Genomic DNA, 17,852 nt, shown 5'->3' on the forward strand with positions numbered 1-17,852 from the left:
CATGCCTGTAATCCCAGCACTTCGGGAGGCCGAGGCGGGTGGATCACCTGAGGTCAGGAGTTTGAGACCAGCCTGGCCAACATGGCGAAACCCCGTCTCTACTAAAAATACAAAAATTAGCCAGGCATGGTGGCAAATGCCTGTAAACCCAGCTACTCAGGAGGCTGAGGCAGGAGAATTGCTTGAACCCAGAAGGCAGAGGTTGCAGTGAGCTGAGATCACACCATTGTACTCCTGCCTGGGCAACAATAGAGAAACTCCGTCGCAAAAAAAAAAAAAAAAAAAAAAAGAGGCCCTAGAGAGTTCTTTGCCCCTTCTACCATGGATGACTCAGAGAGAAGGTGCTGCCTATAAAGCAGGCAAGCGGGCTGTCATTAGACACTCCATCAACTGGCAGCACGTTCTTGGACTTCCCAGCCTCCAGAACCATGAGAAATACTTTTCTGTTGTTTTATAGGCCACCCACTCTGTGCTATTCTGCTATAGCAGCCTGAAAGGAATAACACAGGCACCATCCTAGGCTCATTTTCTCTTGAGGAGCTTTCCACTAGCAAGCACAGTAGAGATGCACATAAAACATCTGACTCTTACCTAAAAAGCTAAGATAGTAAGGAGAAGCAAAATAAAAAGAGCAAAGACCTAATGTTAAAAATGGGCCCACAGATGATTTACTGAAAAATGCAAATTAAATATATAAAAATATGCCTGACTTTACTCATAATAAAAGAAAAATTAAGGTAACAAAGGGAAACCCTTTCTCACCTATAAATTGGAAAAAATCTGAATGTTTCACAATGTTGGCCAGACAGTAGTGAAACAGATACACTAGTATATTACAAATAAGGGAGGAATGCAAATAATACAGCCCCAAAAGAAGCAATACAGACATACCTGGCAAAATTACAAATGTACTTACCTTTTCATCTGCATTTAGGAATCTACCCCAAAGATACACGGGCAAATACAAGATGATATAAACACAAGGCTATTCACAACAGCATTATTATTATTATTTTAAAATATTTTTTGTAATGATGGGGTTCTGCTACGTTGCTCAGGCTGGTCTCAAACTCCTGGGCTCAAGTGATCCTCCTGCCTCAGCCTCCCAAAGCACTGGGATTACAGGTGTAAGCCACTGCATCTGGCTTCCCTGTGGCATTATGTTTAACAGCAAAAGATTGAACCCAGAAGTCCATTGGCAAAGGGCTACTTTAAAATACTATGATATTTCTTTGCAATGAAGAATTAAACACTAATTTTTTAAGACAAAGAATGAGGAAGATTTCTATATGCTGATAGGGCGAGATCTGTACAAGACACAAGTGGAAGAGATAGGAAGGTGATGGGGCAAAAGAGGAACAAGAGAAGGGCCCGAGATGGAAGGAAGATCCTCTGAATTGCAGCTCATTATATAGCTTTGATTTTAGTCATGTAAATATCATACATGTTCAAAATGAAAATTGAGTCAAAAGAAAAAACAAAATTTCTAAAATTTGAAAGTTAAATAAGCACTACTAATTGGTGTAATAACCACACATCAAGAAAAAACTACATCAAATGATTTTGGAACACAAAATTTGACTGTATATCCTTAGATGGCATGTACTAAGAAAATTATAGCTAAAATGAAAAATTTAAACTTCATCTAGCTGTCATTATTCTATGTAATCATACTGGTATTGTTATTTTTGAAAGTATTTTGTGCATATTGTAAAGCCATTGAGTAATTATAGACTATCACTGGAAACATTAGAAAGGAAAAGAGAACAAGATGCACAGCGTAAAGGAATAAGAAAAGAAGTTACATTAAAATCCTGTAAAACAGAAAAAAGAATAAGAAAAAAATTTTAATAGTAAAAAATTTAGTTGCCTTTTATTTATTTTTGTTTATTTTTTCAGGCTCTCTGGCCTTGTTCCCAATCTCAGGAGGAAGCATGCACTCCTTCACTATTACATATTTTGTTGGCTATTGGTTTTTCATAGACAGCCTTTGTCAGTTTTATCACAAATGGATGTTGTAGTTTGTCAAAAGTCTTCCTGCATCTACTGAAATTATAATGAGTTTTCTTCCTTTATTCTATTATATGGTATCTAAGACTAACTGATTCCCAGAGAGAAAAGCAACCTTTCATTCTTACAATAAACACCAATAGGTTATGGCGTATAATGTTTTGTGGGTGTTGCTGAATAGCTTAATGTATCTTTAAAAATTTTTGTGTTTATATTCATGAAGGATACTTACTGGTCTATAGTTTTCTTGTGCTGTCTTTCTCTTATGTTGGTCTTGTTACTCGCCTCACAAAAGGAGTTGGGAAGTATTCCTTCCTCCTCTATATCCTGAAGGGTTTATGAACTACTGGTACAATTTCTTTTTAAATATTTTAATTCCGGGTATGGCGGCTCACACTTGTAATCCCAGCAATTTGGAGGCTGAGAAAGAAGGATCATCTGAGCTTATGAGTTCAAGACCAGCCCAGGCAATTTAGGAAGAACCTCTCTACGTTTAAAAAAAAAAAAAGAAAGAAGAAAAAAGGCTGGGCGTGATAGCATGCCTGTAGTTCCAGCTACTAGGCAGGCTGAAGGAAGACCACTTGAGCCCAGAAGTCAAGGCTGCAGTGAGCCATGATCATGCCACTGCCCTCCAGTATGGGCAATAGAGCAAGACCTTATCTCAAAAATAATAAATGAATGAATGAATGATAAAATTCAATGGAAGGAGTGGACCAAGAAGGCTAAATAGAAGCCTCCAGTGATTGTCTCCCCCGCAGAACGCCAAAATGAACAACTATCTGTATAAAAAAGCACTTTCATAAGAACCAAAAATCAGGTGAGTGATCATTGTACCTGGTTTTAACTTCGTATTAAGGAAAGAGGCACTGAAGAAACTAAGAAAGATAGTCTTCAATCAGCTACACCACTCCTTCCTCATCCCCCAGCAGCAATTGCACGCAGGACACAGAAGCTGTGCACTTGGGGGAGGAAAAGCACAGTGACGGGGCACTTTGCATTGGAACTCAGCGATGTCCTGTCACAGCAGAAACCAACCCAGGGCAGAATTTAGCCAGCACTCACTGGGAGAACATTTAGACCAGCCCTAATCAGAAGCAAACTGTCCATCCCAGTGGTCAGAAACTACATTCTGGCAAGCCCTGCCACCATGGGCTAAAGTGCCTTGGGGTCCCAAACAAACTTGAAAAGCAACTAAGATGACAACAATTGCAATTCTTGGGCAAGTCCTCGTGCTGGGCTGGGCTCAGAACAAGTGGACTTGGGGGGCACATAACCTGAGATACCAGCTGTGGCCACTATGGGAGTGCTTGGCCATGCCTCCCCAAACCCAAGTAGTACAGCTTGCAGTAATAAAAGTGATTCCTTTCTTCTGCTTGAGGACAGGAAGGGGAGAGTAAAGAGGACTTTGTCTTGCAACTGGGATACCAGCTCAGCCACAGCAGAACAGGGCACCAGGGAGAATCCTGAGTCCCTCACTCCAGGTCCTGGCTCCCAGACGACATTTTTAGACACACTCTGGGCCAGAAGGGAACCTGCTGCCTTGAAGGGAAGGGCTCAGTCTGATGGGATTCATCACCTACTGACTAAAGAGCCTTTGGGTGACGAATTATCAGTGCTAACCAGGTAGTACTTGCCGTGGGCCTTGGTTAAGACCCAGGGCCACGCTGGCTTCGAGTGTGACCCAGCACATTCCCAGTTGTGGTGGCCACAGGGAGAAACCATTTCTGCTTGAGAGAAGGAGAAGTAAGAGTAAAGGAGACTTGCATAATGTTTCATGCCTTGCAACATGGGCACCAGCTTGGCCACAGAGGGGCAACATCCCAAGCGGGCTTCTGAGGTCCCCAGTTCTAGGCCTTGGCTCTTAGGATTTCTGGACCTGCCCTGGGCCAGAGGGGAGCCCACTACCCTGAAGGGAGAAACTCAGGACTGGCAGCATTCACCACAAGCTGACTACAGAGCCCTTGAGCCTTGAGTGAAAATCAGCAGTAGCCAGGCAGTCCTCACTGCAGGCCTGGGGCAATGGTGACCACAGGCAGAGACTTCTTTATTTTAGGAAAGGAGAGGGAAGAATGAAAAGGACTTTGTTTTGCAGCTTGGCTGCCAGCTCAACTGCAGTGGAATAGAGCACCAGGTAAATTCCTACAGTTCCCAACTCTAGGCCTGGCTCATAGATGGCATCTCTTGACCCACCTGGAGCCAGGGAGAAATCACTGTCTTGAAGGAAAGAACACAAGACTGGCTAGATTTGCCTCCTGCTGATTGTACAGCCACTGGGCCTTGAATGAACACAGGCAGTAGCCAGGCAGTGGTCACTGAAGGCCTTCAGTGAGACCCAGTGCTGTGCTGTGCTGTGCTTCAGGTCTGACCTCATGCAGTCCCAATGGTGGTGGCTACAGAGGTGCTCATATTACCGTTCCCCCAGCTACAGGTAATCAGCACAGACAGAGAGACTCCATTTGTTTGAGAAAAGTAAGTAAAGGAAACAAGAGTCTCTGCCTGGTAATCCAGGGAATTTTCCAAGATTGTACCAAGACCACTAAGGTGGTACCTCTATAAGTCTGTAAGAACCACAGTGCTACTGGGTTTGGGGTGCCTCCTACAGCAGATTAGGACTTAGGGTGGCCCCTAAAGCAGACATGGCTTCAGTGACCAAAGACTTAGATCATACCCCCAAGTACCTACAAATACCTGGAAAGTCTTCCCAAGAAGGAAGTATATAAACAAGCCCAGAAGACTACAATAAATACCTAAAATCTTTAATGCCCTGATATCAATGAACATCCACAACCATCAAAACCAGCCAAGAAAACATGACTTCACCAAATCAACTAAATAATGCACCAACACCAATCCAAGAGAGACAGAGATATGTCACCTTTCAGACAGAGAATTCAAAATAGCTGTTTTGAGGAAGGCCAACAAAATTCAACATAATACAGAAAAGGAATCCAGAATCTTATCAGATAAATTAAACAAAGAGATTGAAAAAATTAAAAAGAATCAAGCAGAAATTATCAATCTGAAAAATGCAGATGACATACTGAAGAATGCACTGGAGTCTCTTAAAAGCAGGACTGATTAAGCAGAAGAAAGAATTAATGAACATGTAGGCAGGCTATTTGAAAATACACAGAGGGGACAAAAGAAAACAGAATAAAAAACAATGAAGCATACCTACAAGATCTAGAAAAGAGCCTCAAAAGGGCAAATCAAAGACTTACTGGTCTTAAAGAAAAGGTAGCGGGAGACAGGGGTAGAAAGTTTTTTCAAAGGGATAATAACAGAGAACTTTCCAAACCTATTGAGAAAGATAGCAATATTCAAGTATAAGAAGGTTATAGAGCACCAAGCAGATTTAACCCAAATAAAACTACCTCAAGGCATTTAACAAGCAATCACCCAGAAGTCAAGAATAAAGAAAGGATCCCAAGAGAAGCAAGGGGAAAGAAACAAGTAACATACAAAGGAGTGCCAATACATTTGGTAGCAGACTTATGGGTGGAAACTTTACAGGCGAAGACAGAGTGGTATGACATATTGAAGATGTTGAAGGAAAAACATTTTTTCCTAGAACAGTATATCCAATAAAAATATCCTTCAAGCATGAAGACTTTCCCAGAAAACATAAGCTAAAGGATTTTATCAATACCACAAGATAAATGCTACAAGAAATGATAAAAGGAGTTTTTTTTGTTGTTGTTGTTTTTGTTTTTTTAAGATGGAGTTTCGCTCTTCTTGCCCAGGCTGGAGTGCAGTGGCACGATCTTAGCTCACTGCGACCTCCACCTCCAGGGTTCAAGCGATTCTCCTGCCTCAGCCTTCTGAGTAGCTGAGATTACAGGCACCCGCCACCACGCCTGGCTTATTTTTAGTAGAGACAGGGTTTCATCATGTTGACCAGGTTGGTCTCAAACTCCTGACCTCAGGAGATCCACCAGCCTCGGCCTCCCAAAGTGCTGGGATTACAGGCGTGAGCCACCACGCCTGGCCAGGAGTTCTTTAATATGAAAGAAAAGGACATTAATGAGCAATAAGAAATCACCTGAAGTATAAAACTCACTAATAAGTACAAAGAAAACCATAGAATATTGTAACACTGTAATTGTGGTATGTAAACTACTTATATTTTGAGTAGAAAGACTAAAAAGATAAATTTATCAAAAATAATAACTTTTCCAGATATAGACAGTGTAATAAGGTATAACTTGAAACAGCAAAACGTTTAAAAAGCGGAAGATGAGATTAAAGTGTATAATTTTTATTAGTTTTTTCTCTTGCTCATGTGTTTGTTTATCCAATCAGTGTTCCGCTGTCAGCAGTTTAAAATGAGTTATATCATTTGCAAGCCTCACGGTAACCTCAAATCAAAAATAACATACAACAAACACACAAAAATAAAAAGCTAGAAATTAAAACATATGACCCGAGAAAATAACCTTCACTAAAAGGAAGACAGGAAGGGAAGCAAGGAGGAAAGACCACAAAATGACCAGAAAACAAATAACAAATGGTAGAAGTCCACACTTATCAACAACAACATTGAATGTAAATGGATTGAACTGTCCAATAAAAATAAAGTGGCTAAACTGATATAAAAAAGTAAAAAAAAAAAAAAAAAAAATGATCTGTTGCCTGCAAGAAACACACTTCACCTATAAACATCCACACAGATTGAAAATAAAGGGATGAAAAAAGATATTTCATGCCAATGGAAACCAAAACAGAGCAGGAGTAGCTGTACTTACATCAGACAAAATAGATTTCAAGACAAAAAGTATAAAAAGGGATTTTTGAAGTCATTATATAATGATTAAGGGGTCAATTCAGCAAGAGGATATAACAATTGTAAATATATATGCACCGGTCACTGCAGCACTCAGATATATAAATCAAATATTAGAGCTAAAGGGGTGAGACAGACCATAATGCAACAACAGCTGAAGACTTCAACACCCCGCCTTCAGGATTGGACAGATCTTCCAAACAGAAAATCAGTCAACAAAGAAACATCATACTCAATCAGCACTACAGACTAAATGAACCTTACAGATGTTTACAGAACATCTGACTCAATGGCTGCAGAAAACACATTACCCTGATAGGCACATGGATCATTCTCAAGGATAGAGCATATGTTAGGCCACAAAACAAGTCTTAATACATTCCAAAAAACTGAAATAATGTGGACAAAGGATATAAATTGTACAGCCAGTATGGAGAACAGCATGGAGGTTGCTGAAAAAACTAAAAATAGAACTTCCATATGATCCAGCAATCTCACTGTTAGGTATACACACAGCCTGGGTGACACAGCAAGACTCCATCTCAAAAAAAAAAAAAAAAAAAAAAAAATAGGCCAAGCGAGTTGGCTCAAGCCTGTAATCCCAGCACTTTGGGAGGCCAAAGCGGGTGGATCACCTGAGGTCTGGAGTTCAAGATAAGCCTGGCCAACATGGTGAAAACCCATCTCTACTAAACATACAAAAAAAATGAGCTGGGCAAGGTGGCACTCATCTGTAACCCCAGCTACTCGGGAGGGAAGCTGAGACAGAAGAATTACTTGCACCTGGGAGGCAGAGGTTGCAGTGAGCCGAGATCATGCCACTGCACTCCAGCCTGGGTGAAGAAAGGAAATCAGTATATCGAAGAGGTACTTGCACTCCCATGTTTACTGCAGCACTGTTCACAACAGCCAAAACTTGGAAGCAACGTATGTGTCCATCAACAGACAAATGGATAAAGAAAATATACACAGTGGAGTACTATCCAGCCATCAAAAAGGAATGAGATACTGTCATTTGGAAAAACGTGAATGGAACTGGAAATCAGTATCTTATGTGAAATAAGTAAGGCACAGAAAGACAATCTTTGCGCGTTCTCACTTACTTGTGGCATCCAAAAATCATTAAAACAATTGAACTCATGGAGATAGAGAATAGAAAGACGGTTACCAGAGGCTGGAAAGGGTAAGAGGGAGGGGGAAATGGGGATAGTTAATGGGTACAAAAACATGGTTAGATAGAATAAATAAGATCTAGTATTTGATGGCAGAATAGGGTGATTACAGTCAATGGTATTTTGCTATTTTTTTTTTTTTTTTTTTTGAGACGGAGTCTCGCTCAGTCACCTGCCTCCCGGGTTCACGTCATTCTCCTGCCTCAGCCTCCCGGGTAGCTGGGACTACAGGCGCCCACCACCACGCCCGGCTAATTTTTTTTTTTTGTATTTTTAGTAGAGACAGGGTTTCACCTTGTTAGCCAGGATGGTCTCGATCTCCTGACCTTATGATCTGCCCGCCTTGGCCTCCCAAAGTGCTGGGATTACAGGCATGAGCCACTGCGCCTAGCCAATATTTTACATTTTTAAATAATTAAGAGTATAACTGGATTATTTCTCATGCAAAGAAGGGATAAATGAGGTGATGAATACTTCAGTCACCCTGACCTGATTACACATTATACACCTGTATCAAAGTGTGATTATTACACATTATACACATGTATCAAAATATCTCATGTACCCCATAAATATATGCACCTATGTACCAACAAAAACAAAAATATATTACATATCTGGGCCGAGCACTGTGGCTCACGCCTGTAATCCTAACACTTTGGGCGGCTGAGGCGGGAGGATTGCCTGAGCTCAGGACTTTGAGACCAGCCTGGGCAACACGGCGAAACCCTGTGTCTACTAAAAATACAAAGAATTACCCAAGTGTGGTGGTGTGTGCCTGTAGTCTCAGCTACTCAGCAGGCTGAGGCACAAGAATCACTTGAACTCAGGAGGCAGAGACTGCTGTGAGCCACTGCACTACAGCATGGGAGACAAAGTGAGACTCTTTTGACAAAATTCACTAGTAGCTATCTGGAGGCCAGGCACAGTGGCTCGTGACTGTAATCCCAGCACTTTGGAAGGCCGAGGCAGGCAGATCGCTTGAGCCCAGGAGTTCAAGACCAGCCTGGGCAATATGGCAAAACCCTGTGTGTATATAAAAAATACAAAACTAGCTGGTGTGGTGGTACATGCCTGTAGTCCCAGCTACTCACGAGGCTGAAGTGGGAGGATTGCCTGAACCCAGGAGGAGGTCAAGGCTGCAGTGAGCCTTGACCACTGCACTCCAGCCTGGATAACAGAGTGTGACCTTGCATCCAAAAAAACAAAAAAGCTATGTAGGTCTGGGATTTCCTTCACAGAAAGATTTTTAATTATTAATTCAATTTGATTACTTGTTGGGGGTGTATTCACACATTTTATTTCTTCTTGAGTCAGTTTTGGTAATTTACGACTTTCTATGAATTTGCCCATTTTGCTTAAGTTGCTGAATTTGCTGGCCTAATATTTTTCGTAATATTCGCTTATAATCTTCTTACAGTTTCTGAGAGGTCAGTGGTAATATCCACCTCTTTTCATTCTTAGTTTTGACAAACTGTGGTTCTTCCTTTATTTTTGGCTAGCCTAGCTAATGGTTTGTCAACTCCTTTAGCTTTGATTGTGAAAACAAATACTGATTTTTCTCCACCATTTTTCTGTTTCCTATTCCCTTCCTTTGTATTACCTTGGTTTAGTTTTTTTCTTTTTCTAGATTTTAAGGTAAAAAGTTCAGATTACTAATTTAAATCTTTCCTATTTTCAAACACAGGAATTAAAAGATACAAATTTCCCTCTGAACACCTATTTAGTTGCATCACATTTGGATAAGCTTTATTCTTATTTTATTCAGATCAAAATGCTATCTGACTTCCTTTGTAATTTCTTATTTCACCCAAGGGCTATTTAGAAATATATTATTTACAAACATTTTCAGATTCCCAAAATTTCCTTGTGTTGTTGAATTCTAATTTAACTTCACTTTGGACAGAGAACATGCTTTGTATGATTTCAATCTTTTAAAATTTATCAAGACTTGTTTTTATGGTCTAGTATATAGTCTGTCCTAAAGAATGCTGCAGGTATGCTCCAAAAGAATGTGTTCTGCTGCCGTGCAGAATTCTGTTTTATAGTTGGTTAATTATGATATTTTTAAAAATATCAGTAGAAAGGAATGAACTATGTCATGGATGAACATCAAAAATATTACGCTGAACAAAGAAGCCAGGAATAAGAGATCACATATTGTATGATTCCACTTATATAAAATGTCCAGAGAAGGCAGATTTATAAAGACAGAAAGTAGATTAGTGTTTGCGTGGAGCTAGGATCAGCAATGGCAGTCAACTGTAAATGGTCCTGTGGGGTCTTACTGGGGAATAAAAATGTTATATGGTGCTGGTTGCATACTCAATAAACTACCTAAAAATCATGGAACTATATACTTACAGTGGGTGAAGTTTATGATCTGTAAAATACAACTCAAGACAAATTTACATGGATATTTACAAATTCAATATAGATAAATGCCAATTTTAAAAATTCATTGGAAGTTTACTATGAGGAGTAGCCATGGCATCAAACCCTTACTTCAAAAATCAATAATCGGGGCCAGGCGGGATGGCTCACATCTGTAATCCCAGCACTTAGGGAGGCCGAGGCAAGCAGATCATTTGAGGTCAGGAGTTCGGAACCAGCCTGGCCAACATGGTGAGACCCCGTCTCTACTAAAAATACAAAAATTAGCCAGTGTGTTGGCGTGTGCCTGTAATCCCAGCTACTCGGGAGGCTGACGCAGGAGAATCATTTGAACCCAGAAGACAGAGGCTGCAATGAGCCAAGATCATGCCACCGCACTCCAGCCTGGGTTACAGAGCCAGACTCTGTCTCAAAAAAAAAAAAAAATCAACAATCAGATATGTCCTATCCTTCCCACTGTATTTTTGCTAAAATACTAAATTGCATTTTTGGTAACCAAACAATCCGAGTGATGAGACCTTCATTACACTGTAATTCCAGGCACTAAATTTAGAAGGAATAAAAGAATCAGAAAAATGGCCATTTGCAACTCTTAATGAAATAAGTGATTCAGGGCAATCATCATAAATAGAGCTAAACCATGAGGAAAATACAATCATGCACATGGCTAGTCAATCCTAGCATCACTAAAAGCAGGATCACCAGACATTATGCACCTCCTAATGCCGTGAATAAGAAGTATAAAGTATCAACTATTAGTCTTGCCAAAATTTCAACCTGAATCTAACTGTGCTTTTAGACATAACTTTCCATTTACAGAAAATCCAAGGGCTAGAGGAAGAAGTTCAATGAAAGCAAAAGAATCAGATAAATCCAGAATATAAGACATTATACAGGACAAGTGTCCAAGTATCTCCAAAAACAAAATAAATAATAGAGGAGACTGTTTTAAATGCAGACTGAAGAGACATAACAGTGAAATGCCATGTATGAACCTTGTTTGGACCAAATTTCAAATAAGCCAACACTGTCATCTTGTTTGAGACTACTGAGGAAATCTGACTATGGAATTACTGATAATTTCGTTCAGTTGATAATGGTACTATGGCTATTCAAGAAAACTGCTTTAAGAGACATATACAGAAGGATTTAAGAGGTGAAACGACATGGTGTCACAGATTTGCTTTAAATTACAATAGCAGTAGCAAAAAAGAAAAATGATAAAAGGCCAAGATGAAGCTTGGAAAATGCTGAACTTTGTTCAATCTGGGGCCTTATTTATACTCTTCCTCTAGCTTTGTGTATGTTTGAAAATTATAATAATAAAAGTTTTGTTTTAAAGACAAAAAACTAAAATAAAGTTTAGTAGCAAGAATATAATTGCCACTCAGCTTTTTTTTTGGAACAGAGAGGATAATTTCCCACAAAACTGAAATGCGTATGGTTCCTGAGATCCCAGGCCAGAATGACTTACCTTCTGGCAATCCTCCTGAAACTGGATTGAAATAATTCTTCCATGACATGCTGCTGTTCCCGACAAAGAACTTCTGTCATCAATTCCAACAACATAGGGCTTTGAGATAATTCCAATGCATCTAGAAACTAGAAAAAATACATCAACATCATTAAAATTTTGTTGGGTTTTACTTTTGCTTCAATAGTTAAATTATATACTAAAAATATAAAAAGTTTCTTATATAATAAAAAATATAACATACAGAAAAATACACCAGAATTTCACAGACTTAACAAATACCAGTATTTCTGTCATTTTTACAAATATTGTTGAGTGGCTGGTATATATCAATGTTCACTATATACTGAGCCTAGATTCTTTCTAGGTTTTTTTTTAGGTTTTTTTTTTTTTTTTTTGGAGACACAGTCTTGCTCTGTTGCCCAGGCTGGAGTGCAGTGACACGATCTCGGCTCACTGCAAACTCCGCCTCCCAGGTTTCACGCCATTATCCTGCCTCAGCCTTCCGAGTAGCTGGGACTACAGGCGCCCGCCACCACGCCTGGCTAATTGTTTGTATTTTTAGTAGAGACGGGGTTTCACCGTGTTAGCCAGGATGGTCTCGATCTCCTGACCTGGTGATCTGCCCTCCTCGGCCACCCAAAGTGCTGGGATTACAGGCGTGAGCCACTGTACCTAGCCCCTATTCTTTTTAGGTTTTGCAGATGCTACTCTTCTCTGCATCTCAGGTTCTGAGAGTACATGGAGACGTGCCTTCAACAGGCCCCCCTCCTTCACCATGCCAGGGACTCTCGCCCTTACTCTGATTCTGGTAATGTGCATCTTTTCCACACCGTCCTCGCTACAGAGGGGATATCCCAGGCCGCTCCCCCGATGTTCTCATCTTGACTCTCCCCTTCTCCATCTCAGTTTCTGTTCTGCTTTCTAGGAGATACCCTTAATTTTATCTTCAGAATAGAACAAGTATGTTTTATTTAAATTTTGCTTCTGCATATTTAATTTCCAAGGATCCTTATCCTATCTCATGGACATAATACCTTCTTTCATCTCTGAAACTGTTGTGTGCAGTTTCCACTGCACTTCAGCCTAGACGACAGAGCAAGACTCTGTCTCAAAACAAAAGAAAACAAAACAAAACAAAAAACACCAATGTATTTCATGTCTATGTCCAGACTTGAGTCCTATCCCCGGGATATCTCATGTATACACAAACATTCCAAAATCCGAAACACTTCTGGTTCCAAGCATTTCAGATAAGGGATGCTCAACCTATCATATTAGGGATAATCACGAAATGCTTCTCAAATAATCGCTACTCTATTAAATTTTAGAAACTGGAAATTATTGGTAATATTCTATTTCTTAGCTTCTTTTGGTATTACTCTTCATAACTTACATATATTTTACACATTCCATTTTACACATAAAATATTTCACAATTAAAAATGGGAGAAAAAAACAAATTCCAGTGGATTCACATATACTCCTGTCACTGCTTTCCAAGTGAATTAAATGAATTCTCAGGCCACACACACATAAATAAATGGGACATGGTGCTGATTCAGTATGTGCTTCCTCTTCTACAAATAATGACCCTAGTAAAAATGTACTGTACAAGCTTTGTGTAGAAAGAACATTTTGAATAACCTATTGGGTGGTTTACAACTTCTCTGATTGTGGATATTTTACTCACCTCTTTTCATCAAGATATGTAACAAGAAAAAAAAAACAGTGTTTTAATTTTACTTGATACTACTAGAAACTAACCTTTTTCATGCAGTCCACATAATTATTGAACCGCGGAGTTCCTGGAGGAAATTCCCTGGACTGCATGGGGAAGTGAGCAACGATGAGCTGCTCCAGAACACGTCTAAGTTCCTCCAGACTGCCTCCAGTGAGGCTGGTGAAGAATGGAAGAAGAGTGACAGCTTGGCCCTGTGGAGCAAGACAGACATAAGAAACTGCACGAATTATGGCTTATATATCCTACAGAATAAATAAAATTACTGTAAGACATTGCAAATAAAGCATTATGTGGAATCAATGAATGGCTTCACCATAATTTCTAAATTATATTAAAAACCAACATGAATACAATTCTATACCTCAGCTTTTTTTTTTTTTTTTTTTTTTTTGAGACAGAGTCTCACTCTGTCACCCAGGCTGGAGAGCAGTGGCATGATCTTAGTAGGCTCACTGCAACCTCCGCCTCCCGGGTTCAAGTGATTCTCCCTGCCTCAGCCTCCAGAGTAGCTGGGATTACAGGCGCCTGCCACTATGCCTGGCTAATTCTTTTCATATTTTTCATAGAGACGGGGTTTTGCCATGTTGGCCAGGCTGGTCTCAAACTCCTGCCCTCAGGAGATTCACCTGCCTTGGCCTCCCAAAATGTTGCGATTACAGGCGTGAGCCACCGCACCCAGCCTATACCTCAGCTTTGACTCTTACCCAGGCTAGTTGGTTGACGCCAGCTATGGACACATAAATAAATGGGACATGGTGCTGATTCGGTATGTGCTTCCTCTTCTACAAATAATGAACCTAGTAAAAATGTACTGTACAAGCTTTGTGTAGAAAGAACATTTTGAATAACCTAAGGAGGAGTTTACAACTACACATTGCAGAACTACAGAAGAACTTCATACTGAGCTTAACAAGAACTAGGAGTTGACTCCTGTTCTCCCTCGCATGGCAGAAAATTCCAAGACTGTCTATGGAGAAATGGGAAACTTGATTAATCACACAGCAGAAAATTCCAAAGAATTATCCCCTTTATCCAGTAAAAAGGTCCCTTGAATTAAGGCCACTTTTCAGTAGGGTTTAAAATCTAATTGTTCTAGGACTTTAAAATTAGTAACCCTTAAAATGACAGTATTTATTAATTCTTGACCCTAAAAATCACCAAAAATTTTTATATTATTTTAATAGAAAAATGACTGAGTAATAAAGTCATTATAGCACAAAAAGCCAATTTAAATAATATGTATGCAAACACAAATGTTAATTCATCCAAATATGATAATCTTATACTTTAAAAGAAATGTTCTAGGCCGGGTGTGGTGGCTCACACCTGTAACCCCAGCACTTTGGGAGGCCGAGGCAGGCAGATCACTTGAAGTCAGGAGTTTGAGACCAGCCTGGCCACTATGGTGAAATATACTAAAAATAAAAACATTAGCCAGGCCTGGTGGCGCACACCTGTGATCCCAGCTACTTGGGAGGCTGAGGCACAAGAATCACTTGAACCCAAGAGGCGGAGGTTGCAGTGAGCCATGATTGTGCCACTGTACTTCAGCCTGGGTGACAGAGCGAGACTGTCTAAAAAAAAAAAAAAAAAAGAAAGCAAGAAAGCAAGAAAGCAAGAAAGCAAGCAAGCAAGCAAGAAAGAAAGAAATGTTCTCATGTCTTGGAGAGGCACACTGAACTGAAGCAGATACAGGTCAGATAACACACCCGGCCTGCTTGGCCTTCCTTGCCTGCTGACGGGTGGGTTGACCGCACAGGTGAAACAAACACACCCACACAGGATGGTTATCGAGACTGGCTAATAAGTACGGGGGATTACTGTGCTAGTCTCCCTACATTTGAACACGTTTGAAATTTTCCATAATAAAAAATAAAAAACATCACAAATAAAAAATACGAAAACAGAAGAGAATGTAATCCAAAAAAATAAATATTTCACTGTTTACCTTTAAATGTAGATCCAGCTTTGTGTCAGCAAGTAGACTAATATATGTTGTAAAGACTTCAGGGAATGAACCATGACTTGTATTAAAAGATACAGATGAATCAATCTAAAGGAAGGAAAAGAAAAACAGGACACATTTGTATATTACATCTCTATTTCCTTTAGCCCATTGCTCAAATGTTTAAATTCCAGAAATGAATTGTTAATTTAATTTTGGGCTTCAATAATATTTTCACAATCTTATTGTAAAACATTGTAATACTATCTGTTAGGACAATACATGCAAAGGTACTTTAAAAAGATATAGCATAAGAAATAGTAAGTCTAATAAATAATGGAAAAAGTTTAAAAAGGTAAATATAAGCAACCATCCTGTCAAAATATTTTCTTATTTGTCAAACCAATGAGCTTTTGGAGCAACCTCCATCAAATTTTAAAGACACAAGTTACAGAGTTCAGAAGAATAAACATGACTGCTTTTTAAAGGAATTGAATACCTGTAAAATTTTTGCCAGTAAGGCCAGCACTGCCATTTTAGTTTCGAGAGGGGAATCTTTGGCCCACCATGAATCACACTTCTTCCAGTGTTGCAGAATTGTAGTCGCAAGTTTCAGTCCTTGGTGTTTCTGGTTTGCTCGCTCCCTGAAGCTCTGGTCTAACATGCCGTTCAAAACGGCACTCACCTGAGACAATTTCGTTGTGAGTGAAGAAAAATTCTTAATTTTGAGAATGACAGAAAACAAAATTTACCTTTATTTCAAAGCTATTCTTGGAAAATAAATAAGCTATTTCTATAATAGATGTTTATCTACTTCAAAACTCCTCGAGTTTGATTTGAGGTACACTTTAACCATAGTTTTTCCACAAAGTACAGGGTGGCCTTAGCTATGTCATCAGGCTCATCCAGCTTCTCCTGGCTTTCCTAGTCTGCGCAGTCTAGGAAAAAGGAGTCAGCTCTCTTCTGTCACCACCACCACCACTGTACATGCATGCACAAGCACACACAGGTGTACACGCACAAGCACACAAATATGCACATATGCACAAATGCACACTTCCTATCCCACCACCACTGTACATGCATGCACAAGCACACAGATGTACACACATAAGCAAACATGCACCCAAGCACATACTTCCGGTCCCACCACCACCATACAGGCACACACTAGCACACACAGGTGTACACACACAAGCAAACATGCACACACGCAAACGCACACTTCTTGTTCAACTACCATCATACATGCACACCCACATTTTCTGTCTCACCACCACTCCTGCAACAGAGTGACAGGCTAATTTTGGTCAGATTAACATGCACTATTCCTGTCATTCTGACTATGCAAACATTTTTCACAGATGTTCCAAGTAGAAACAATGCTTTTCCCTTTTTGCACATTTTGTACTCTCTGAAGCTAACCTTGTTTGCTTTCATTGCTCTTTTCAATGTGTCTGTCATTAATTCGTCATCAAACTCTCCCAAGTTATGAAATTGCTGCAAGCCCTCTAAGCCTATCAGGTCTATCTGCCCCATTTCTGTGGCAACTCAGCTCTTGATCTGCAATGCTGGTGCTGGACCTGGTGCTGGGCCATCCACGCCTCTGTGCGGGGCCGACATACTGTATCCAGCACCTTCCCCTGTCTTGGCTCACTGCCTGATCACTCTCTACCCAGCAGCATCGTGATGAGAGTGCACAGGGACCTCTTGGGGATCTGGCATGTCTAAAACATCTGTATTCCACTCTCACATAATGGATAATCCAGCTGGATTCAGAACTCTAGGCTGAAGATTTCTCTTATGAACTATGGAAGAAATCTGGTTCAAGTCTTGCAATGTCCACACTGCCGCTGAGAAGACATATGTCATTCAATTTCTAGATCCTTTCACACATAACTGCTTTTTCTCCAGTGGAAACCTGAGAATCTTTTATTGTAGTGAAACCCCACGGTTCTGAATTCTCAAGAAATGTGCTCCACGTGGAGCTGTTTCTGTGCACCATGCTGGACACTCCATGGCCCTCTTCTACCTGGAAACTCAAAGCCTTTGCTTCTGGGCTCCTCTGGAGCTGTGTCCTCAGCAAATGCCACTCCTGACCCCTGCCCTCCGGAGCCAAGGCCCTGCTGCTCAACCTCATGCATGAATCCCTAGTCTCCTCCTCTTTTCTCTCGTGTTTTCTGTTTTGTCTTTCACTCTACTCTCTGTGAGAGTTACTCAAGTTTACCTTCCAAACTCATTTCATTTTTAATTTCTGATGCCTATGCTTAATTCCCAAGAGCCTTTTTTGTTCTCTGATGTTCATTCTCCATAGCAATTCTTATTTCACA

General features: G+C 40.1%; 1 protein-coding gene across 2 annotated transcripts in view; it reads right to left on the reverse strand.

Moving 5' to 3' along the window:
* Window positions 1-17,852, reverse strand: part of PRKDC (protein kinase, DNA-activated, catalytic subunit) — a 187,026-nt gene that overhangs the window by 92,780 nt on the left and 76,394 nt on the right. For both annotated transcript variants that reach the window (NM_001081640.2, NM_006904.7), the window contains exons 37-40: window positions 16,022-16,207; window positions 15,526-15,630; window positions 13,601-13,768; window positions 11,834-11,961 (exon numbers count right to left, since the gene is read on the reverse strand). In NM_001081640.2, the coding sequence (NP_001075109.1) occupies window positions 11,834-11,961; window positions 13,601-13,768; window positions 15,526-15,630; window positions 16,022-16,207 (587 nt within the window). The remainder of the gene's footprint in view (window positions 1-11,833; window positions 11,962-13,600; window positions 13,769-15,525; window positions 15,631-16,021; window positions 16,208-17,852) is intronic.

This window comes from Homo sapiens, chromosome 8, assembly GCF_000001405.40.
Source record: "Homo sapiens chromosome 8, GRCh38.p14 Primary Assembly".
Taxonomy (NCBI): Eukaryota; Metazoa; Chordata; class Mammalia; order Primates; family Hominidae; genus Homo; species Homo sapiens.